At 33.8% G+C, this 26,580-nt stretch overlaps 1 protein-coding gene across 10 annotated transcripts in view; it reads left to right on the forward strand.

Annotated features, from left to right (window-relative positions):
• The window catches only part of MALRD1 (MAM and LDL receptor class A domain containing 1), a 687,552-nt gene that overhangs the window by 272,252 nt on the left and 388,720 nt on the right, over window positions 1-26,580 (forward strand). For all 10 annotated transcript variants that reach the window (XM_011519453.3, XM_011519455.3, XM_011519454.2 and 7 more), the window contains 3 exons: window positions 4,771-4,927; window positions 8,385-8,495; window positions 12,191-12,404. In XM_011519453.3, coding sequence (XP_011517755.1) covers window positions 4,771-4,927; window positions 8,385-8,495; window positions 12,191-12,404 — 482 coding nt within the window. The remainder of the gene's footprint in view (window positions 1-4,770; window positions 4,928-8,384; window positions 8,496-12,190; window positions 12,405-26,580) is intronic.

Consider the following 26,580-nt stretch of genomic DNA (forward strand, 5'->3'; position numbering starts at 1 on the left):
CTTTACGGTTAGTGATTTTTATATACTGTTGAAAACAAACTTTCTTACTCCCACATCAGGAAGGTATTGTTATGTTATATAAGCTTTCATTCCAAGTATAATCTACCTGGAATTTATTATTTTCGAATGCTGTGAAATACCAGTCAAGGTTCATTTTTCCCCTCATGGCTAACTAACTTATTCAGTTCATTTATAAAAAACGTTATTCTTTCCATCAGTACTTCACAAGAGCCACACTTTTCATAAATCAGATGTCCAAATACATGTGGATCTGTTTCAGGACTATTTCTTATAGTTCTCTGGATTGTTTGTTTGTTCTTGTTCTAATTCCACTCTGTCTTAATGTTTTAGCCCATTCAGGCTGCTGTAACAAAAAATCTCATAAACAAAGAGACTTATAAATAAAACACATTTATTTATCACAGTTCTGGAGGCTTGGATCATGGTGCTGGCGGAATTGGTATCTGGTGAGGGCCTATTTCCTCCTTCATGGATGGTGCCTGCTTGCTGTTTCCTCACGCGGTAGAAGGGACTTGCTAGCTCTCTGGGGTCTCCTTTGTAAGAGCACTAATCTCATTAAGGTCACTTAATCGACTCCCCAAAGGCCCTGCGTAATAAGATGATCACCTTTGTATTTAGGAGTTCAACATGTGAATTTGGGGGGAACACAAATGTTCACACCATAGCACCTGATAACTATACCTTTATAATGAGTCTTTTTTTTTAAACTTAAAGCATTTATTGCATTTAAAACATTTAATGCATTTGTAGACAAAAACATCTTAATTTTTAGAGTTATTTTCTTTTGTAGCCACATATGAAATGGAATTGGTAAACTGCTAACCTGAGTTTTATAAAACTGCTTTTTTTTTTTTTTTTTTTTTTCAAATTTTACTTTAGGTTCTGGGATATATGTGCTGAATGTGCAGGTTTGTTACATAGGTATACATGTGCCATGGTGGTTAGCTGCACCTATCAACCCATCCTCTAGGTTTTAAGCCCTGCATGCATTAGGTGTTTGTCGTGATGCTCTCCCTCCCCTTACCCCTACCCCGCGACAGGCCCCAGTGTGTGATGTTCCCCTTCCTGTGTCCATGTGTTCTCATTGTTCAGCTCCCACTTATAAGGGAGAACATGCAGCGTTTGGTTTTCTGTTCCTGTGTTACTTTGCTGAGGATGATGGTTTCCACCTTCATCCATGTCCCTGCAAAGGACATGAACTCATTCTTTTTTATGGCTGCACAGTATTCCATGGTGTATATGTGCCAAATTTTCTTTATCCAGTCTATCATTGATGGGAATTTGGGTTGGTTCCAAATCTTTGCTATTATAAGTAGTGCTGCAATAAACATACATGTGCATGTGTCTTTATAGTAGAATGATTTATATTCCTTTGGGTAAATACCCAGTAATGGGATTGCTGGGTCAAATGGTATTTCTAGTTCTAGATCCTTGAGGAATTGCTACACTGTCTTCTACAATGGTTGAACTAATTTAATTTACACTCCTACCAACAATGTAAAAGCATTCCTATTTCTCCACATCCTCTCCAGCATCTGTTGTTTCCTGTCTTTTTAATTATCACCATTTTAACTGGCATGAGATGGTATCTCATTGTGGTTTTGATTTGCATTTCGCTAATGACCTGTGATGATGAGCTTTTTTTCAAGTTTGTTGGCTGCATAAATGTCTTCTTTTGAGAAGTGTCTATTCATATCCTGTGCCTACTTTTTGATGGGGTTGTTTTTTTTCTTATAAATTTCTGTAAGTTCCTTGTAGCTTCTGGATATTAGAACTTTGTCAGATGGTTATATTGCAAAAATTTTCTCCCATTCTGTAGGTTGCCTGTTCACTCTGATAGTTTCTTTTGCTGACCAGAAGCTCTTTAGTTTAATTAGATCCCATTTGTCTATTTTGGCTTTAGTTGCAGTTGCTTTTGGTGTTCTTGTCATGAAGTCTTTGCCCATGCTTGTGTCCTGAAGGAGTCTTGATGTCTGATTAAGTCCTGCACCTCTGTTCTTCTCATGATAAAATTGGCTATTCCTGTCTTCTTGTATTTCATTAACATTAGTTTTCCAATTTCTGAAAAATAAAGTCTGTTGGGAATGTGTTGGGATTTCATTTAATCTTTAAATCAATTTGTTTGATAATTCACACATGCAGTGTTGTACTGGAGTCAGATTGTATTGGCTCAGGAAGGATGATGGGAATCATCTCTTCCCAACTCCCATTCCTACTGGGAGACAGAGATAAGTTATGTAGAGATTTGTAAGCCATATTAAATATATATTTTTAATTATTTCAAAACTATGTTTTAATTGATGCATGATAGATGTAAATAGCTCCAGAGTACATGTGATAATTTAATACATTTAACTAAATCATAAAGATCTAATCAGCATACCTGGGATATTCATCACCTTAAATATTTGTCTTTTCTTTTTGTTAGAAACATCTGAACTATTCCCTTCTAGCCACTTAGAAGTGTACAGTAGATTATTGTAAACTATAGTCACTCTACTGATTTATCAAACACTAGATCTTTTTCTTCCATTAAACTGTATGTTTGCACCCATTAATCAACTTCACTTTTTTCCTTCTTGCTCCCACTTCCTGGTATCCTATGTCAATTAAAAAGACTTTAGCAGGTTTTAAGAAGTGGATTGGGGGACATGATTTAATCCAATCTCCATTAAAAAAATTATTCTAAGTGATGTGTGAAGAATGAATAGAGTGAATCAACGGTAGATGTGAAAGACCAATGAGGAGATTTATTATTCTAAGCAAGAGGTAGTAAAAATTTAATGAGGTGGTAGCATTAAAATTGGAGAGGCATGGACAATTCAAGCTATATCTCATAAGTAGAACTCAATTTCCTGGTGGACATTTAGATGTAGCACATTGAAATAATTTTCAATGAAGTATAAAATTATAATAATCCTGACATATGCTTAAAGAAAGATTTACAGGTTAAATAAATCATATACATATAGATATGTGCATGCAGTTTTTTCTTGACTGTTGCCTCTATGTATCTGGATGTATAAGTATATACATCTTTGTTCTGCGTATCCCTGTTATACTGGGATATTTAACGTATGATATATAAGAGAACTGGAAATGCTTTTTCATTGAGACATAATTCAGATAAATATAAATGATAATTCTGCGTCTTAAAAATTAACTCATAACTCTGTGGTTTGCATGACACTACTTATTTCATTAGGAAGAATGAATGATATATATATAACCACAAATTACAACTACCATTTTTTAAATATATAAATGGGCCAGGTACTGTGTTAGATATTACACATATTTTATTTATGATTCTTATTAACACCATACATGGAACTGTCTCATTTTCTGAAATGAAGAAACTAAGATGTTTAGAGAAGTTAAATAATCTGCCTTAAATTGACCATCTAGTAAATGAGGAGGCCTGAGGCCAAACCCTGCTGTGTCTTTTGCAGACAATTATATTCGTAGAAACTTGGACAGCCACTGGCAAGACCTGCAAGACTGAGCACTCAGTAAATACATGGTGACTGAATGACTACTTCCACCTCTCTTTCCATCTGTTTGCTCTTCATAATTCCCCCAAAATGATAAAAAATTTCAAAATAAAATAGCTTTAATAAGAAGCAAATTTAAACTCTGTAGTTTCTAGCATCTATATTTAATTTAGAAAGTGGCAAGAAATCAAGTTAATCCAAAACAGAGTGCCAGAATACCCAAACTGTGCGGATCACTTCTTTATGCTTCAAAAAGCTGTATATAACCTAGAATGACTTTAATGTTTTATTCTCTTTTTTGAATTAATTGTCCAAGTAGGGTCATAAATTCTTTCTTTTATGGCAAAAAAAAATCGTATTTAATTGTTTCCATCATTATTTTTCCTTTTTAATTTAAGCCTAGGAAAGAAAGGATATTCTTTAAAATTATATACAAGGTTACTAAAATGTGTTGAAGTGAAACTGAGCTAAATCAATATAGAGAGAGTAAATTTGAATGGAAACCCTTTGAGACTGATAAGTTGAAGCCCAGACCGGTTTCCTGTTTTTCATCTCCTACTTATTCATGTTTTCCCCTTCCTTTTATGTTTCTTCTAAAGGCAATCAGTGCTTTAGGGCCTCATTTTATTCACATTAAAATGAGCTCTAAAAAGCTGATTAGAGTATTAGTGGTATTATTGCAAAAATATCAACCAAGTTATTACAGATTTGGTAGTTTCAGTCTTTGTCATAATTTTATACACATTGTACCAATTGATATCATTACAAGGACTATGGGTTCAAAATCAAAGTGGCAGAAGTATTATTTCTGATGAAGATAATGGACCATAATTAAGCTATATAACACATTATACTTTTAGGAAAAAATATAAAGCAATAAAATATGGTTAGTGACAAACTGTACTATGTTTCACAGTATTCTTCTTCTTTTTGAGACGGAGTTTCGCTCTAGTTGCCCAGACGGGAGTGCAATGGCGCGATCTCAGCTCACTGCAACCTGCACTTCCTGGGTTCAAGTGATTCTCCTGCCTCAGCCTCCTGAATAGCTGGGATTACAGGCACACGCCACCACTCCCAGCTTATTTTTTCGTATTTTTAGTAGAGACGGTGTTTCATCATGGTAGCCAGGCTGGTCTCGAACTCCTGACTGCAGGTGATCCACCTGCCTCAGCCTCCCAAATTCCTGGGATTACAGGCGTGAGCCACCGTGCCCGGCCTCTTATTCCTTTTATAATATGATAAATTCCTTTTCCAGAAATACCACTGATGGCTGGTACCTGTATGCTGACAGTTCTAATGGGAAATTTGGTGACACGGCTGACATTCTCACTCCTATCATTTCACTCACGGGACCAAAATGTACCTTGGTGTTCTGGACACATATGAATGGGGCCACCGTTGGTTCTCTCCAGGTACTGCTTAGGCAATCACATTTTCTGAATTTTCTCTCTAAAAGTTCACAGTGCATAATTTGGTATCATTAAAATATATTCTGTTAATAAGTGAAAATGGACAATTACCAACACTTCACTAGATTTATAGTGGTATATGGAGTAAAAGCTTTAGCAGAATTGGACATGAATAGCTAATAAGTAATTTTTATTCTATTTAATTATGAATGTTGTCTCTATGCTGAGGTTACAGCTTCTGGGTAATACTATTTTACACTTGAAACATATGCAGGTATCAGTATCAGTGTTCTGAGTATAACCACAATCAAATAAATATATACACTTGGGTAATATCTGGATGTGTCTTCTTGTTGCCTTTGATGGTAGTAGTGCTACATTCTGTAATAGTCTTTTTCAAAATGTTTCTCTGTTAAAAACGTTAAGCTGTTTTAAACTCATAAATGTTTCACGAACAGCACAGACAACTCCAATATACACTTCACTCAGAGATCTTATTTTTTTTTTAAAAAAAAACGAGTTGTCCTGGTAATGTCCCCTATAGAAAAAAAAAATCCAGTATAGGATAATATATTATACCAAGTTATTTCTTTCTACTGTCTTTCAAACAGGAATAATTCCTTATCTTCCCTAGGTTTTTATAAACTTGATATTTTAAAAGCCCATAGCCAAGTCATTTTGTAAAATGTCTCTTAGTTAAATTTTATTGTGTTAAGCCCTTTTTTCCTATTATATAACCAATATGGTGTTATTTCTATTGCATCCTGTTAGTGATCCTTATAAGCCCCATTACTTTTGTTTTTTTTTGTTATCAATAAATATTTTGCCAAGAGATATTTTAAGGATGTGTAAAATATTTATTTCATCTCCATTTTACCCACAAATTTTTGCCTTCAGTAGTTGCTTTTTTTTTTTTTTTTTTTTGCTTGAACTAATTTTACAATGCTGATTGCCTAATTGTGATGTTCTAACTCAATTATTCTGTCCACATTTGTAGGTTTGATTCATGTTGGAAAAAAAAAATTCTCATCCCTCTATTTGTTTGCTCATTTACTGTTTTATATCAATGTGGACTCATAAGTTTCTATTTTAGTCAATGTATTATAATCTATTAGTATTATTATTTATTTGCTCCTCAAACTGTCTCAGATTTGGAAATAAGAGTCCCTCTTAACGAACCTCCATGTCTCTCTAAAAAGGCCCATTATTCTTTGAGCATATTCTTTCTATTTGGCCAAGATGTTACAAACTTCACCTTATTTTTATCCTGTCCTGTCTCTGGAATTAACTATTCTTTCAGAAAGTCCTGTATTTTTTTTTTTTTTCTGGGGCATCCAACATATACAGGCCAGAGAAGAGTTCTGGAATATTAATTCAGATTCCCAAGTCCTGTCTTCCCATACTGTATATGCCCTGGTGGAGAATAATGCATAAAGTTCGTGAGTAATATGCGTAGACACCTCAGTTATATTGAAGAAGCCAACTCAATTTTGGAGCATCTCTGTTTATTGTGTTTCATAGCTTATGTGTTTCTTTCCGGGAAGCCCTGTCTGAAATAAATCCACAAATTCCAGAATTGTATGTACTATGAGCAGTTTTAGAGTAGGGCTATCTTGCTGGAAGCAATCTATTGATAAGGACTCTCCCCCTTTTAAATACTATTAGCTTGCCAAGAAATCTCTAGCATATTTGCAACAAGATTAGACGTGAGTTTCCTGCTTTCTTTTTCCCCAGTAGAGAGATACAGACTGTGACTAACTGCTAGGTCATACGTTTTCCGAAAGGTTGATTGCAATATTAGTAGTAGGTGCTACCCTGACTCCTATTTTGTTTTATTCTAGGATTTTCCTGGCTATTGTTATTCATTTTTCTAAAGAAACTTGAGATAAACATAGTTTCTTTCAAAAAACATATTAAATTTCATATCAATTTTAGAATTTTTTTTATAATGTGAGACTTCGTTCTGAAAACAGTTAAAAAGTATATTTGTGTGTATACACGCATGGTTATGTTTAATAATCTAAAGACATCCAAATGGGCTTCTGGGTTGACGTTAAAACTTATTGTTGTAAATTGACTTTTTAAAAATGTTTTCAGGCAAAACAATTACTACAACTTACTGTAAGATTTTCGTCAGTAAAATGAGAATTATTTGCCTGGAATATTGTGGGGTTAAGATTGATGATGTGAAATATGCTTTCATTTTTTCAGTATAAAACTTGGTATTGGTAGATGAACTTTTTTAAAAGGATTAAAATTTTGTAAGTATGGAATTATCAAATGAATAAAATGATATCAATGCCTTATTTTTGTGCATGGATAAATAAAATAACATTAAATGTTGCATTAGTAAGTTTCTTGAACATATTTTTTCTCAGTGATTTGTATATAGTGTGGTATTAATATAAAGAAGACTCATTTGCTATACATTTTTTTCAATGCCTTTCAAAATTGATTTTTACTGATTGGTTAGAAATGATGTTTTCTTGACCTTGATAATGTTCCAAATTAATTTGAATTTTATAGACTGATCATTTCATGATAGTTTTGCTAGTAACACATTATTTTTTCTATGACTCTGGAAACTCCAATTATATTTTAAAAATGTGAATTTAATTAAAAAAACAGATAATGTAATCATTAAAATTCATCTTCACTTTTAAAAGTCAGGACTTTCACAAATCTTTTATCTGAATAATTGTTTGGTTGTATGAATTCTATTTTTAAAAAGTAATGTTGTGAAATCATTTAATACACTGTGTAAGTCAGTTATTTTAAAATCAGAAGTTGTTCCACTCTCCTTTGAGCCTTAGTTACTCTCTTCATGGCTCATTTTGTATCATTCTAAAAGAAGAGCCATAATAGTTTTCTGAGAGTAATCTGGATTCTGCTTTACATTGGGGGTACAGTACTGATGAGAATATGTTTGTTTCATGGCTGTTGGGCAGGAAGCTCTTACTGGCGCAGCATAAATAGATGCTCACTCATCTTACCCATCTGTGCGCTTACAATGAAATGAGCTGACATTGTAACATTACTGCCTCTCTGGAACCATCTAATGAGAAAGATCATTCTCAAAAGAGTGTTTTAGTAAGCAATTCCATACTTTCTCATTTGACCACATGAATATTATTTAATATATAAAACAGCAATTGTTACTGCTGCCAGATTTTTAAAAAGTTAATGTAGTTGAGTTCTTAATTAAATGGTGCCCAGATACCTTAGGACTTGACTGACAGATATTCATGCACATCTTTATTGTAGAAAGCTTGTGAGGTACGCTAGGGGCACAATGCTGTAGAAAACAAAGATATCTAATAAAAAATATCTTAGCTCTTCTCTCCAGGACTTCATGTTGATATTGCAACTAAAAAAAAAAAAATCACTGGAAGAATTCTACATGTTTGCAATTTCTCAAGATAAAATACTTCAGTGCCTTTTACTTGATTTATCTCTATAGGTGCTCATCAAGAAAGATAACGTTACTTCTAAATTGTGGGCTCAAACTGGACAGCAAGGTGCACAGTGGAAGAGAGCAGAAGTGTTTTTAGGCATTCGTTCACATACACAGGTGTGTAATACAGGTAGTTATGGGGTGAGTGAGTTCTGCTGATTTTTTTCATCCTCATTTATTTCCTTCTCTACTCACAGTCTTCTTGCCCCCATTCCCTTTTTGATGTGTTCTGTGGATGCGTGGACACCATGCTTAACACTCCATGGAGCATTTTACATAAGGGATTGACAACTTCAGAATGCTCTAATTTCTTCCAAGTAGATATTCGTACCTCTAGGAACATTTAATTTGAATAAAAACCCTCCTTCACTCCCCAGTCAGCCTCACACGTATAAGGAACATTTACCTCTGTTTTGCAAATATATTCTCAGAGCTTGTACAGCAATTAATTCTTTCAACCCTAATTTAAAAGATAGTCTTTGGAAAACATATTATATTATTAAACATTATTATAGGGAATAGATTCACCTAATTTAAAAATATTTTTGGGGGGCACAGTATTGTGTAATGCTGTATTTGTCTTCATGGAATTTGTGATAGTAGTAAGAGGATCAGACCTATACATATTAATAACTAAAGAAAAGTACTAGTACGAAGATGAAAATGTTTAAACTGGAAATAAGCATGTGCTGAAATGTTTGGCACAAAGCATATTTCTTATGGATTACCAAGAAAGCAAGACCTCCATTGGCTGTTGTTTTCTTGGGAATTTTCTCAGAAGATGAGGCTTAGCTCTGAAGATTTGTTAAAATTTGAATAAGCAGAGTGAGAACACAGAGCCATTTATGTACAACATTTTCTTCTTAGTCTTAACTGCCTGGGTCTTAATTCCATGAATTTAGAGCCGTTTATCTCCAGATAGAAGGGATAAAATTCTTGTTAAATATTGCATTTTCACTCTTCCATGTGCAGCTGGGGTAGCCAAGTTGGCTGTGAATGTTCAGATAAATACATCTACAATCATGTGCTTTCTCTGATAGATCAGCTCCTCTCAACTCCAGTGGGAGTATACAGGCTTCCATTGTATAAAAGCACTGAAAAGTGTTACAGCCAATTTCTTGGAATGATAGGTGTAGTAAATCCCATGTATCTTTTGCCTCTCTCTGGAATCCAGTTTTCTTATGAATCACTTTTAGATAATTTAGGATATGCATAAGAAGGAAGTTCAACCTGAAGCAGTAAAGACTGAATATCAGTTTCATAGCCTTGCGCAACATGAAACTTTTTATTAGAGGGATCCCAACTGTTCAGCCTCTCAGGTCTTTAAACTGAGGCGAGAAGAAATCTCAGCAAGAACATGTAGAAGATTCTACTCTGCCACACTTGGGCTTCCACCCCAGGAGATGAAGTCTTAACTAGTTCTGTGCATGTAAAATATTTGTATAGTAAAATCGTGTTTGAAGTAATATTAAGGGGAATTTCAGCACATACAATCAATTATTAATTTAGCCATTCTGAATTTCTAGTTTTTCACATATTGAGATTAAAAAAGAGTATACCCCTGATTTTTTTGACTCTTAAAAGTAAATATTAATGGCTTGTGAATATTTGCTGTTTTATGTGTGATTTCTTCCATATTAAGCACTTACTACGTGCAAAGCACATTGCTATGCACCATGCACGAGAGAGACAGTGGTTAGTTAGGCACACTCTTCGTGATTCTGCCATTTTTTACAAGATCGTTCTCTTTAGTCTCACAAAGAAGACTGCCTCTAGCCCTTGGGGAAACATATAAAATATTTTTAGAAATGGTATGCTGAAGCATCACTGGGAAGCTTGTATAATTTTATTTGGGACCCCCCCCCAATTTAAACAAAATATTTAATTACAATAATTTTTACTATTTGAGCAATTGCATATGTAGCAGTTACTGAGTGCTACATACTATTTATGAATTTTTAAAATATTTACTCATTTTGCTTTCACAATAACCTTATGAATTACATAGTATTATTATCTCCATATTATAAATTAGAATACAGAAATACCCAGATGTTAGGTCTTTTGTTCTAGTTATGTAACTACAAATGGCAGAGGCTGACTGTAGACAAGGTCAGGCCTTCCACCAGTCCACAGTGCAACTGCCATGCTACATTGTCTACCAAATTTTAGAAAATAATTAACCCTGACTATATTCTGTCTGAAGAAAGATACATTGTAGTTTCTCTCTTTTTTAATAACAGTTAATCACATTCGGTATTAAAGTCTAGGGAATCCCAACCAACCTTATATGAAGCATTGAGATATAAGTGATGATTTGATTATTTGAACAAGGCAAGTATCTGAGATTGTACCTATATGGCAGAAGATAAGCCAGTTAACAGTGCAACACTCATTGCATTATCTGATTTCTTATTCACAGAGCATTGCAGCATATGTTGAAATTTTAGACTATCCAGATAATAGAGTATCTTTTATATTTTGCATATCAATATTTTTCCATGGCTCAATTTCCCTTTTAAGAAAGTCATAGTCCTTATTATACTTTCTGGTTTCATCTCTTTTTAATCACTTTCAAGCTCTTCATCTATCTTACTAATATTTTTTTTCTTTCCAAGCTCACCTACTATGAAGAGCAGTCTATTCCTTTTACATGAAGTCAATATATGAACACAGTTATATTTTTTTTTTGATAATGTGAGAGGCATGATTTCAATTATTCCAACCTCTCATGTTAAGAGGAGAACACCTAGGTTCACACAATAGTATAAAGACTTACCGCATCTGAAGGAAAAAAAAAACTATAATTATTTCTTTTAAGAAAAATAATTGTCCAGAATTGGTCAAAATATATTTCTAAATATGGTAACAGTAAATATTTTGTACAAAATCACTAAAGTAAAACTGTCCTTGTTAACTCGCCTCCAATTGTTCTAAATTTATTTTGAAATATCTCAATATTTCTTATGTTAACATATACATACTTAGCTTACAGAAAAACTTAATAAAAAGACTGAATTCCTTTCTCTGAAAAATCCTAAACTACAGAATATGTGATGTTTTATGTACCTGTGAAACAACATTCATTTTTATTCCAAGCAATGGTATTGTTGATAAATTGAAGATGGAATTTGTAAAAGCATTAATGATTCCTGTTACTATTCTTCATTCTTCCTGATTCTACTGAAGTCCACACACGTGGGAAATCATTGTCAAACAATAGGACACATGAAGATTCTGCTCATCACATACATGAATCAAAAGCAAATCAAAATCATTTCAATTCCAAAGATGTGTACAATTTAAAAAAAAAAAACTCATGGTATTGAGGACTTATCTTTTAGCTTTCAAATAGTAGGAATGAAGAGATCTGATGAATGACAAGAATTGAGCAAAATAAAGAATCTACTTGTATCTTTTCACTCTTGGTACTTTATGTCATCTGATCTACTGCTTTCCTGTGCAGTGATGCTCTAAAACAGGAGTAGGTCTTGTTGGAGATCTGAGAGCTGGCAAAGGCAGTAGTGGATTGGTGTCTCCTGCAAATTTTCTAGACCCATATCCTAAAAATCTAGACATAAGCCAGTGGTGTTGCCACTCCCACATTCTTAGGTGTTGAGGATGACCTAGGTCTTAAATGGTCCTTAAATTTCCTGGGTCACTTTCAACATAGGGACATAAAAAACAAAAACAAAAACAAAAAAACAAACAACAAAAAACAGATTCACGATTGATGTGCTTGATACTTAGTGTTTGCCCAGGTTTTGAACTTCTTGATTGACAGTTTAACTGTAACTGGCTTTTTTTTTTAGATTGTCTTCAGAGCCAAACGTGGTATCAGTTACATAGGAGATGTAGCAGTGGATGATATTTCCTTCCAAGATTGCTCCCCTTTGCTTAGCCCAGAGAGAAAGTGTACTGATCATGAATTCATGTGTGCTAATAAGCACTGCATTGCCAAAGACAAGCTGTGTGATTTTGTGAATGATTGTGCTGATAATTCAGATGAGACTACTTTCATTTGCCGTAAGTAAAAGGGTTCTGTTTTCTTACTTTTGCCTTCAACTCCCACAGCCTTACTCAATATCTGTGTTTATTGTTGAAACATGCAGAGTGTGTGTATCTCAACACCAGGGGAAGGTAAGGTGATTTAACTTGACACATTCCCTCCTTTCTCTGAATAATTCATTTATAATCATAATTCATTTACAACCAATTGATGGCTGTGTGTGTGTATGTGTGTATTAATTGGAGATAAATTGGAAAACAGGTGTCTTCAAAGAAAAACAGAATGGAAACAAGTATTTTTCATATGAAAGTGGTTTTTTTGAGACGGAATCTCACTCTGTTGCAGGATGGAGTGCAGTGGCGTGATCTCGGTTCACTGCAAACTCCGCCTCCCAGGTTCAAGTGATTGTCCTGCCTCAGTCTCCCGAATAGCTGGGACTACAGGCGCCTGCCACCACGCCCAGCTATTTTTTGTATTTTTAGTAGAGGTGGGGTTTCACCATGTTGGCCAGGATGGTCTTGATCTCTGGACCTCATGATCTGCCTGCCTTGGCTGCCCAGAGTGCTGGGATTGCAGGCATGAGTTACTGTGCCTGGCCTGAAATAAATGTTGTTTTTTTTTTTTTGAAAAATGACAGGCAAAATTTTCATTAAAGACAATTCATGCAGGACTGGTGAGCCTGCAGCCTCTGATGCATTTCAGAGGATTGTCATTTCTCTGTGTATATTGTCAGATGTGATAGGTTGTTAAAAAAAATCAACACCCTGATAAATACCTGTATATAAAATAGACAAAGTGATCTCTCAAGGAGATACATATCAGCTGTGTGATATGGTTAAAGGAGATCAACTCATAATGAACACCATATATTAAAATATCCTTAGCTAAATGCACCATATGTACTCAATCTGCTAAGCCTGTAAGATTGTGCAACATAGTCCAATTGTTGCTTCATTTAACTGCAAGTGAGTTGTATATAAATTGTCAAAATGAAGGTTGACAAATTATGTCACCATTACCTTTAATAATTTCTGAGCTAGAATATTGCAGTTTGATATTATTTGCTTCTTGGAACCAAACCTGGAATATCATGAACAACTTCAGTATATAGAGCTTACATATATATAGAACTTTTAATGTTCAAAGCCTTTTTATTTATTAATCTTCATTTGAACTTCAGAAGTCTTGAGAGGTACATGGGAAAGATATTATTAGTGCAGTCAACAGATGAAGCTGTCAACAAGAGTGCCTTAGGTTTTGTCAAAGTTCATAAAACTTGTACTGACAGAGTTGGTCCTAGAACACAAGTATTTTATTTATTATTATACTTTAAGTTCTCGGGTACATGTGCACAACGTGCAGGTTTGTTACATAGGTATACACATGCCATGGTTGTTTGCTGCACCCATCAACATTAGGTGTTTCTCCTAATGCTATCCCTCCCCTAGCCCCCTACCCTCTGACAGGCCCTGGTGTATGATGTTCCCCTCCCTTTGTCCATGTGTTCTCATTAGAACTCAAGTATTTTGATTTATGATCCAATGTTTTGCCCAAGCTACCACACCACTTCTTTTTAAAAAAAAAAAATTATTTCAACTTTTATTTTAGAATCAGTGGTACATTTGCAGGTTTCTTGTATGTTGTGTGATGGGGAGATTTGGGGTATGGTTAGTCTTGTCAGCCAGATAGTGAGCATAGGACACAATAGATTTTTAGCCCTTTTCCTCCTCTCCTTCTCTTCACTCTAGTAGTCCCCAGCTCTTATTGTTCCCATGTTTATGTCCACATTTACCCATTGTTGAGCATCCACTTATAAGTGAGAATATGCAGTGTTTGGTTTTCTGTTCCTGCATTAATTCACTTAGAATTATGGCCTCCACCTGTGTCCATGTTGATGCAAAGGACTTGATTTCATTCTTTTTTATGACTGTGTATTATTCCGTGGTGTATATGTAACAGATTTTCTTTATTCAATCCACCATTGATGGGCACCTGGATCGATTCCATGTCTTTGCTATTGTGAATCGTGCTCCGATGAACATAGGAATGCGTGTATCTTTTTGGGAAAAAGATCTATTTTCCTTTGGTTATATATCCAATAATGGAATTGCTGGGTCAAATGGTAATTCTGCTTTGAGTTCTTTCAGAAGTCTTCAAACTCCTTTCCACAGTGGCTGAACTAATTTACATTCCCACCAGCAGTGTGTAAGCTTTGCCTTTTCTCGGTAACCTCGCCAACATCTGTTCTTTTTTGGCTTTTTAATAAAGGCATTTTGACTAGTGTAAGATGGTATCTCACTGTGGTTTTGATTTGCATTTCTCTGATGATTAGTGATACAGAGCATTTCTTTCATATGTTTGTTGCCCCTTGTTTGTCTTCTTTTGAAAAGTGTCTGTTCATGTCCTTTGCCCACTTTTTAATGGGGTTGTTTTTTGATTGCTGAATTGACTAAATTCTTTATGGATTCAGGAAAGTAGACCTTTGTTGTATGTATGCGTAGTCTGTGACTATTTTCTGCTGTCTTGTAGGTTGTCTGTTTACTCTGTTGGTAGGTTTTTTTTTTTTTTTTTTTTTTTCTGTGCAGAGCTCTTTAGTTTAATTAGGTCCCACTTCTCAAGTTTTGGTTTCATTTCAATTGCTTTTGATGATTTAGTCATAAATTCCTTGCCAAGGCTATTGTGAAAAATTCAGTTTCCTTGGTTTTCTTCTTGAATTTTTATAGTTTTAGGTCTTGCCTTTAAGTCTTTAATCTGTCCTGAGTTTATATTTGTGTATGATAAAAGGTAGAGTTCCAGCTTCATTCTCCTGCATATACCCTATCACTTTTGTGTATAACTGAATCTTAAAAAAAAAAACTTAATGTTTTTACCACCAAGAGATGACAAGTGTTTGAGAGATGATAAGTGTTAACTTTGGTTCGATCAGTACTATAATACATACGTATATGAAAACATTACACTGTACCCCATAAATATGATAATTACTGTATCAGTTGAAAACAAAACTTATTCTTTACAGTTATAGATATAGATGTCCTTTTAAAATCACTTGACTATATATTCCTTCAATTTTGGATTATTTATTATATCCATTATTATGTGAAAAAGGGAAAATACTTTGCTACTCTGGAATTCTGTATTTATTACTATTTATCTTTACCTTATGAATATTTTCTGCTATTAGTTATTTTTGTATCAAGTGCTTGTAGATTTTCTTCATTGTCATTTTCCCTTAAATATTACACAAATAAGGTTAACAGTTAAATAGAGCACATATAATGCTTTTGAATTTTATTTGTAATGTTTCCAGTGTATCTCTTTCCTAGAGATATAGTTTAGTGTAATTTTTCAGAATTCAAGGTATCATTTTATTTCTGGCTAAATATTTCTTGAACTCTTTGTATTTAGGCTCTAAAGTTGTGCGTATTTCTAGGAATTTCTCTCTGTATTAGGGAACGTATGCTGATTTACCAAGGGAATCGGAAACATATTAAAAACATACTGTCTTGTTAGTTCTTTTATTTCAAACCTAAAGGCAAAAGTAATCATGAACCTTTGGAGGATAAGTTGTATCAGAAGGTGCTTTTTGGTGAATGATTGCAAAACCTCTTGTTCTGTTTTTTTTTGTTTTTTTTTTTTTTTAGATTTGAGTGGGCATATTCATACCGGTAATATTAGAGCAACAAAGCTGAATTAGTTCCAAATAATGCATAGGAAAAGTAAAACTTTTTCAGCTCCTAGGACAAACAAACAAATCAGAATAAACCTGATTTTGGCGTTGGTTGCCATTACATGAGAATTATTTCTTTTAACATAGCATTGCTAATTTTTTTTTAAAAGTTCAACTGTGTTTCCAGTCTACTGGTCTTAAATGTTACGTTTTAGTTATAAAGTGGCTGGAATCTGCCATATGAATTATAAGTGGTGTTATTATATTTATATGCTATGAACTTTGATGCCCTAATTTGACCCAGAAGAAGAGAAAGACAATATTAAAAGAATCACCATAGAAAATGATTTCAAAAGTTTGGCTGGCAACCAACCATGTATTTGGGTTTAAATTCCACAGTCTCCTTTCTTTGTTTTGTTTTGAGAATTCTAAGTAAAGCTTGAACACATATCACAACTCTGAGAAGGCTTTGAAAATGTGATTAGGTAGAAATATACCATCTAGGAATAGCAGAAAGAATGAAAGAAATCAACTCTTTCTAAAGATATAAAACATTTCATGGAGAAAAAATTTTTTTTTATTATTATACTTTAAGTTCTGGGGTATATGTGCAGAACATGCAGATTTGTTACATAGATATACACGTGCCATGGTGGTTTGCTGCACCCATCAACCCGTCATCTACATTAGGCATTTCTCCTAATGCTGTCCCTCCCCTAGCCCCCCACCCGCCGACAGCCAATAACAGACAGAGAGCCAAATCATGAGTGAACTCCCATTCACAACTGCTACAAAGAGAATAAAATACTTAGAAATCCTTTGTAATATAAACATGTACATCCTGCTTTAATTATCTGTATATCAGTGTAGACTCTGAAAGCAAGAATCTATAAAAAAGTAATTTTAAAAAATAATCTGAATAACACTTCTACAATACAGGATGTAGTCAAAAGTGATTTGTGTATCTAGGAACTCTAAAATCTTATTTGAACATAATCATGCCATTGATACAGAGACTTCTATGGGAAACAACCATTTTATTAGCTTTCAAATACATTCTAATTAGCTTATTTACGGATGAGACACAATTCAGAGTATCTCAAGCATTCTCCAAATGTTTTAACTTTGTGCTGTGGTAAGGATGCAATAGAGTTGACCAACACAGTCAGTGATCTGCACCTAAGGGCATATGTAACACAGTTTCACAGCTTCAGATATGTATCATTTTCAAGCACACACAGAACATTTAGCAAAGAACAAAAAAGGGTTATAATTTTAAGTAGTAATTTTTGATGGGTTAAAGTCACCTAGGGTATACCTTCTGAATTAGGCTTGAGATCAATGACAAGACAATGTCTAGGAAACTCCTGTTGTTTAGGAAAAAGACACTTTTAATAGCCCATGCCCCCCTCCTAAATCACATTAAATTAAAAATATTTTGAAACAGAAATAACAAGAATATTGCATAACATAAACTGTGGGCATTTGCTAAGCCAGTAGATAGAGAAAAATGTTTTGCCTTAAAAAATTATATTAGAAACCAATTAGGTAATAGCACAAATTAATGAAATAGAACACAAATCTAAGATGGAGGACTTCAGAAGACCAATAAAATTTTCAAAACCCTGCCAAGAATAAAGAAAAATAAAGACAAAACTATTTAATTAATATATATTTATTGGGCAGTTGTTATATGGCAAGCAATTTTTGAGACACCTAGTATATATCATTAAATGAAACAGAAAAAATATCCTGTTCTTCTTGAGCATGTACTTCTTTGTTAAACAGAAAATATATATTGTGTGTGTATATGTATTACACAAAATATATTGTGTGTATATATTTGTGTATATATTATACACAAGTAAACTTACACATATGTATATGTAAGTAAACTTTCATATACATATGTGTGTATGTGTATATGTACATACTTAACATATGTGTATATAAGTAAGCTAGACAATTTGTTAAGTAATAGGTACATACTTACATATGTGTATGTAAAATTACACAGCTTGTTAAGAGGTGATCAGTGCTATGAGAAAAAGATAAAACATAAGAAATCATGAAATGGAAGGATGGCAAATTAAAATATTAAGTAGCACAGTAAGGACAGGCCTAGGTGAGAAGGTATTCAAGCAAATTTTTGAAGGAGGTCTGGGACCCGCTGCTTTCCTTTTTAAGCTTTTTAGTTATAGCCATCCTAGGGAGTATGAAGTGTAATCTCATGGTGGTTTTGATTTGTATTTTCCTAATGATGAATGATGTTGAACATCTTTTCTTGATCTTATTGGCCATTTGTGTATCTCTTTTTGGAGAAATGTCTATTGAAGTATTTTGTCCATTTTTTTACAGAATTGTTTATCTTTTGTTGAGTTACAGAAGTTCTTTAGAATTCTAAATCTTAAATCATTATCAAATATGCAATTTACAAATATTTATCATCATTTTGTAGGTTGTCTTTTTTCATGTTTATCTTTAATACCTTTAGTTTTATAGCAATTTTAGGTTTACAACAAACTGAGTAGAAAGTACAGTTATCAACTGGGTGCGGTGGTTCACGACTGTAATCCCAGCACTTTGGGAGGCCAAGGTGGGTGGATCATGAGGTCAGGAGATCAAGACCATCCTAGCCAACATTGTGAAACCCCATCTCCACTAAAAATACAAAAAATTAGCTGGGCGTGGTGACACACACTTGTAGTCCCAGCTACTCGGGAGGCTGGGGCAGGGGAATTGCTTGAACCCAGGAGGCAGAGGTTGTAGTGAGCCAAGATCACGCCACTGCACTCCAGCCTGGTGACAGAGCAAGATTCTGTCTCAAAAAAAAAAAAAAAGAAAGAAAGTACATATACTCCTTCTTTCCATATACCCATAGCCTTCCCCATACAAGAGTGGTACATTTTCTATAATCGATAAACCTACAATGACACATCATTAACACTCAAACTCCATAGTTTACATTAGGTCTCACTCTTGGTGCTGTATGTTCTGTGGGTTTAACAAATGTATAATAACATGTATCGACTACCATAGTATCCTTACAGAGTCGTTTCATTGCCCTAAAAATCCTCTATGCTCCGCTTGTTTATTCCTCTCTACCCTTAAACAGCTGGCAACTGATTTTGATCCTGTCTCCATAGTTTTGTCTTTTCCAGAATATCATGTATTTGGAATCATACAACATGTAGCCTTTTCAAATTTCCTTTTTTCAATTAATAATGGATGTGATAGCTCAATTATTTTTAAAGCTGGATGTCTCAGACTTTTGTAAAACCATAACAAAATAAACCATAAAAAATATCACCTCCCACCAGGTCCCTCCCTGACATGTGGGGATTACAATTTGAGAAGAGATTTGGGTGGGGACAAAGAGCCAAACCATATAATAGTAGGTGTATATATTTATGGGGTACATGAGATGTTTGAATACAGGCATGCAACGTAAAATAAGCATATCATGGAGAATGGGGTATCCATCTCCTCAAGCATTTATCCTTTGAATTACGAACAATTCAATTATACTCTTTAAGTTATTTTAAGTAAAACTAAGATATTATTGATTATAGTCACCCTGATGTGCTGTCAAACAGTATGTATTATTAATTATTTCTAACTATATGTATATATATATACACACACACACGCACATATATACATATATTATATATATAAAACTACATATATACTATATGCTAGTATATACATATACTAGTTATATACTATATATACAACTATGTGTATATATATAGTTAGATTGAATTAATAAGTCCTACTATTAGCACGTCAGGGTGACTATACACACACACACACACACATAAATACACATACACACACACACATCCCTAGGAGGATGCTTTTCCTGTCAAAAGTCTGAAAAACAGTCTGCAGCTCTACACTTAGTTTGGACTTTATCCCAAGGCCATGCCTTCATGGTGGAGCCCTGGGTTTGGTCTTTTCTGGAAGATGTATTTTAGCAGTCCACTATTTAAATGATCAATTAAAGTTTCTATTTCTGAGGTTTAAAATCTCAGAATTTCTGACCTCTCTCCTTGCCTTCTTAAATGTGTTTACTAGCTGCTCAGTTCTTTCCTGAGCTTATATTTTTCTCGTGGCATCTTATCAAATACGTCAAGTAGTAGCCAATTCACGTTTTCAACATTTTGCCCAAAAAGCTCCTCACACAAATTTGTAATATAGTTATATACATATTCAGCTTTCCACAATATCTTGGGCACCAGGTTTCTCAAATGTTTTGATGTTACATAACATAAATCTCAAAATTTTCAGTCTCCTATAACAGTTCCTTTATTGCTTGCCATCCTGGCCATTGCTACAAATTTTAGGTAATTTTTATGTCAGCACTCCATTACAAGTACTAACTTCTGCATAAGTCATCTGTATCATGATAATGCTGTGTAACAAACTACAGCAAAATTCATTGCCATTTAAAAACCATTTCTTATTTTCACCCTGTATGTGATGAGGTTCTGTGATGTGTTTTCTTAATTTTTAAATTTCTAAATTTTGTAGGTACATAGTATGTGTTATATTAGTTCATTCTCACGCTGCTATAAAGACATATTTGAGACTGGGTAATTTAAAAATAAAAGAGGTTTAACTGACTTACAGTTCCACATGGCTGGGGAGGCCTCAGGAAACTTACAATCACAGTGGAAGGTGTAGAGGAAGCAAGGAATGTCTTCCATGGAAGCAGAAGAGAGAGAACGAAGGAGTGAGTGCCATACTTTTAAACCATCAGATCTCCTGAGAACTCACTCACTGTCATAAGAACAGCATGAGGGAAACCGTCCTCATGATCTAATTACCTCCTACCAGGTCCCTCTCTGACACTTGGAGATTACAATTTGAGATGACATTTGGGTACGGACAAAGAGCCAAACCATTTCATAGTAGATGTCTATGTTTACGGGTTACATAAGATGTTTTGATACAGACATGCCTTGAGAAATAATCACATCACAGAGAATGGGATATCTACCCTCTCAAACATTTATCCCATGTGTTACAATCTATTTACACTCTTTTAGTTATTTTAAAATGTAAAATTAATTTATCACTGACTGTAGTCAATTTGATGTGCTAACTTTTTTTTTTTTGTACCCATTAACATCCCCACAAGGTTCTGTGATTCGGGTTGAGCTTAGCAGGGCTTACTTGTAAGGTGTGGGTGGAGTCCAGGCTTGAGCCAGCAGCTACCTAAGGCATGTTCTTTGAGCAAAAAATAGGAGGAAAAGGGCACAAATCCAGACATGAAAGTAAATGTTTATTCTCTGCCTGTGTCATGCGTCTAAATATTTCATTGGCCATACAAAGTCACAAATCCATTTCCAAAATCAGTGGGATAGAAAAGTGTACTCTGCATAGACTGGGAGGATGAGGGGAAAGAACATTTAATAAAAAAATCAACCAAACTCTTATACTCAATCACTTAATAGCAGTCTTTCACAATTATTACAGATATGTTTAAACACAGGTTATTTCCCACTGGATGAAATGTGCTTCAAAATATCATTACTTTTTATGTCATAGCAGTGCAAAATTTAGCATTGTTAAATAATTAAACTCACCTCTACTTAAATTTTGGTCTAGAGAGCATCAGCATCTTTGCCAGCATTGAGACCCCATCTGAGACTCACTAAATCATAAACTTCATGTTAGCAAGTTCCTCAGGTGATTCATATGTGTATTAAAATTTGAAAAGCATTGCTCTCAATAATACAAAAAATTTTACAAAGCTTTCTGGTGGAAGGGGGAGCTAGTATTGCACTCTTTAGTTCCTTGTCAACATAAGCAAATATTTATTGGTTTTAATATTCGATATTAATTTTTTAACCATTAGCAATAATTTGTGTTTTATTTTGTATATCTTTCTATATTTTTTACAACTTTCTCTCTGTTTTTATGAATTGAATAGACTAAAATATATTCAAGTCAACACATAGTTCATATGCATGTATTTGCCTACTAATATAACTTATTGAAGGTTTTGAGAAACTTGTAAAAATGAGCATTCATTCAGCAAGTGTTTATTATGATATGTCTGGCATTTTTTCTAGTTTCTTGGGATAATGAAGTGAACAATACATACACATGTCCTGTTGTGGAGTTTCCATTCTGACTGTTGGTGGTGGGTGGGACACAAATATCAAACAAAATAAGTAAAATAACACTATATGTATATATATATATGTGTATATATATGTATATATGTATATATATGTGTATATATATGTATATATGTATATATATGTGTGTATATATGTATATATATACACACATATATATACACACACACGTATTTTATACATACATGTATATAAAACACTCACACACACACAGATATTACAGTGATTAGTGTTCCAGCAAAAAGTAAGGAAAAGTAAAGCAAAATGCTTGCAGTCGTGGCTTATAATTTTAAATAGGGTAGTCATAGAAATTCTCATTGAGAAATTAATATTTGACTAAAGAATGAAAAATGATGAATCAAGCCAAACGATATGCGATGTAACTGAAGGAGTTAAAAAAACAAAGACATTTTTAAAAGCCAAGAATAATTAAAACCCAGCCCCTTTTATTTCATCACCATGTCAGTAACAGTGTCGTTTGGGTTCTATAAATGCATAAGGAGAATTTCACCACCCACTTTATCCCTCAGGATGTTTTTATTTACTGAGTTTTTTGAGTTGATGTGTTCACATCTTGACTGCCCTCTTTTAATTGTTATGGCATATAACTATATAGCGTTCTCTAATTTCCAAGTAAACTGATGAATTCTGGGGGAGAAGGGACTGTGGTTTGAAGGTATAATTGTTACTTTTTGCAGTAAGTTTATATTACGTATATTATTTATTTATTATAGTAAGGTCGACGTTCCATCTGAAACTTTTTATCATTTCGTAATTAGTGCTCCGCTGTGGTAAAAATTAATTTCACAGTGTACACTGCCTCTGGGCTAGGGAGTAGTACACCAGTGTGCATTATCCTGGGTACTGAAAACGACTGACCTGCGTCATTACTTTGTTCTTAGTCAATAACCATTTAAAATCTAAGGAAGCATCTTATAATTAACACTCACATTATCTGACATATTACTACCAGATTTCCTTTTCATTTGTTTATTTGGTAAACATTAGGCACCCCCAATAGAAGTGGCCCTAGAGCAAAAACAAAGAAAACAAGATATGACCTGAATAATTGTGGAGCTTCTTGTCTAGTAAAAGAGATATGTAAATAAACATTTGCATTTCTTGAGAGTTAGAGAAAGTGCCAAGTACTTTTGGAGGGGCTAAATGAAGATAATTTAGTCATATATAAATACTAATCCCAACGTGGGCTTTCATGAAAGTAACACATTGCTTTGAAAACAACCAGTGTGTTTTCAGAGATGTTATTAAGCATGGACTGAGAATAGCTTTTGTTTTCTTTGAGAAATTATGTTAGAAAGTAGGTCAGGTATCATGATGTTATTAAGGCAGGCTTTCTGGGAAGGATCAGCTGTCCTGACTGCAGCTGAGTGACAGGAGCTAAGACCACATTCATTGTCTTTCCAAAATTACCAGCAGTGGTCCCTCCTCTCTCTGTGGCAGTGTCTTAAGTGGCAAGTCTTAGGATAATATTTTCCAGATTATAAAATCAGGTCGTTGACAGAGAAGGAAAAATTATATATGAAGGACCTCTCTGAATCACTCATGAGATAATCCATATTTTCCAAATGTTTGATATATAATATGCCTTATGAATTTTCAAAAGGTTGATGCACATAGAGTTTTTCTAAATTATTTACCCTCAAAACTGCCTTTTTCTTTGTAGGAACACAAATATGCCCTTTATAGGACGGTCATTCTGTATATCACAGTGTGAAAAATTTTGTTTAATGTATTTATGATTATTACTTCACAGAATAACAAAATACACTGGAAACCACTCTATCATAAATTCCTAATGATAATCAGCAAGTGATATTAATATTTTTAGCCTTCAATTTTGAAATAATTATGAATTCATAGAAACTTCAAAGAGAGTGCAGAAAAATACTATGTACCCTTCATGCATTTTTCCCTCAGTGGTTACCTAACTATGGTCCAGTATTAAAACCCAGAAACTAATATTGTCTCAATGTTTGAAAGTCTGCAGCATTTCATTACATGCATAAATTTGTGTAAAGCATCATTGCCACAATCAAGATACTCCATCTTTACAAAGATCTTCCTTGAGCTACTTCTTTATAGTCAAACTCATTCCCATCATCCCTAACCTCAGGAAGCCACTACTTTGTTTTATATCTCTTTGCTTTATCATGTTGAGAAAGTTATATAAATGGAACTCTACAGGATGTGACCTTTGAGAATAGGTCTTAAAGATCTTCTTTCTCTCAGCATCATCCTCTTGAGATCCATCAAAATTGTTGTGTGTATAAATCACGTTTTCCTTTGTATTGCTTAGTCATGTTTCATGCTATTGAGGTAACCATACCCTGGTGCTATTTTCCAGAGCGATTGCATCGTGTCACACTACCACCAATAATGTACACAAGAACAAGTGTTTCCACGTCCTTGTGATGATTTGGTGGTGTTACTATTTTATTTTTATATTACCCTTCTTATAACTGAGGAGTAATATCTCACCATGGTCTTAATTTGCACTTTCCCAATAGCTTGTAATGTTGAATATTATTTCCTGTGCTTGTTTATAATCCATATATCCCCTTGGCTGAAATATCTCTTTTGCCCATTCTCTAATTAGACTTCTTTTTAACTGTTGAGTTTTGAGAGTTCTTTACACATTATGGGTATAAGTCTTTTAACAGATATGTGAATGGCAGATATTTTCTCCCCGGCTTTGGGTTGTCTTTTTTGTTCTTTTAACAGGATCATTTGCAGAGCAAACATATTTAATGTTGATGAAGTTCAATGTATTGATCTTTCCTCTTCCAGATCATGCTTTGATATCACATCTAAGAATACTTCACCAAGTCCTAGGTCCCTGATTTTCTCCTTTGTGTTCTTTAAAAAGTTGTATGATATTACATTTTACATTTAAGAGTATGAATCATTTAGTTAATTTTAGTCTAAAGTGTCAAATTTGGTCACAGTTTCTTTATTTTTATGTTTGCCTATAACCAACTACTCCAGCATCATTGACAAGACTGTCCTACTTTTATTTAATTGTTTTTGTACCTTTGTCAAAAATTAGTTGTACTTACATGGAGCTATTTCTGGGTTCTTTTCTGTTCTATTGATCTAGGTATCTATTCCTCCACCAGTACAAGACAGTCTGGTTAACTAAAGCTGTATCATAAATCTTGAAATCAGTTAGATTAATTCCTCCTAATTCATTCTTCTTATACAAAATTGTTTTAGTTATTCTAGTCCCTTTGACGTTCTATATATATTTTATAAAAATATATATCTACAAGTTATGGAACTTTGATAAAAATTGCATTTAATACCATGTCAATTGGGGGGGGGGAGTCATATTTTTAATATATTGAGTTTTCCAATCATGAGCATAGTAGGTTTCTCCCCATTATTTAGATCTTTGATTTCTCTCATCAGCATTTCGTGGTTTTCAGCCTACAAATTTTGTACCTGTAAGAGACATTGATCAATGGACAAATTATAGGATTTGGAAAGGTAGAAAATAGTTTGATTGATGACACAGCTTTAGACAAAGGTGATCATTGTCTTCCTGATGGCACAGGTGTCTGATATTGGCATTAATTGCACCACAAATGCCAGGAATTGGCATCAGTTCCCAAGACTATGTGCTCCTTTTATTACCTGGTGCCTATAGGAAATAATAGGATATGAAATTATAAGTTGTTCCCCCTCATCACAGTGACGTGAAATTCAAACTACTTATTTTTGCTTATTTTATTTTCCCCACTGGTATATTAGAAATAAACTTTCCAAGGAAACATAACTTCAAAACAAGGGAAAAGATCAAAAGAAAAATATGATTTACATTATAAAGATTTAGCAGTGTTTACATGAATGAAAATATCAAATCTGTTTTTCAGCAGCACACATTATTTTCTTGTACAAATGGCCTCTCTAGATGCTGCTCTATATGCTAATATATTTCTCACAGGCTGCTAAATTTTCCAGCACAAGGCAACTGAATTATTTTATTCATTTTATAGTTCTTAACTAAGACAGCGGTTCATATTCTAAACTAGATGCTGAGTTGGGGTTCATTATTATTTTCCTGACATCTACTCCCCAGTCCTTTGAAAGGATACTTAGAACTTCAGTATTCTATACTACAAGAGGTTATAAGTATTATAGTCTATTCTAGGAAAAAAAAAATTACAAAATACATTTCAAATGACATTTGAAAACTGAATTAGCAATTCGATTTTTAAAAGGCATTCTCTCCATTTGATGACATAAATTATGACAGAAAATGTATCTCTATCCTTGAAGACATTACAAATTTGTATTGGCTGTTAAACAATTTAGAAAAACAAATTATTAGTCTTGATGTTTTCTTGAAGT

The sequence above is a fragment of the Homo sapiens genome, chromosome 10, assembly GCF_000001405.40.
Source record: "Homo sapiens chromosome 10, GRCh38.p14 Primary Assembly".
In the NCBI taxonomy this organism is placed as follows: domain Eukaryota; kingdom Metazoa; phylum Chordata; class Mammalia; order Primates; family Hominidae; genus Homo; species Homo sapiens.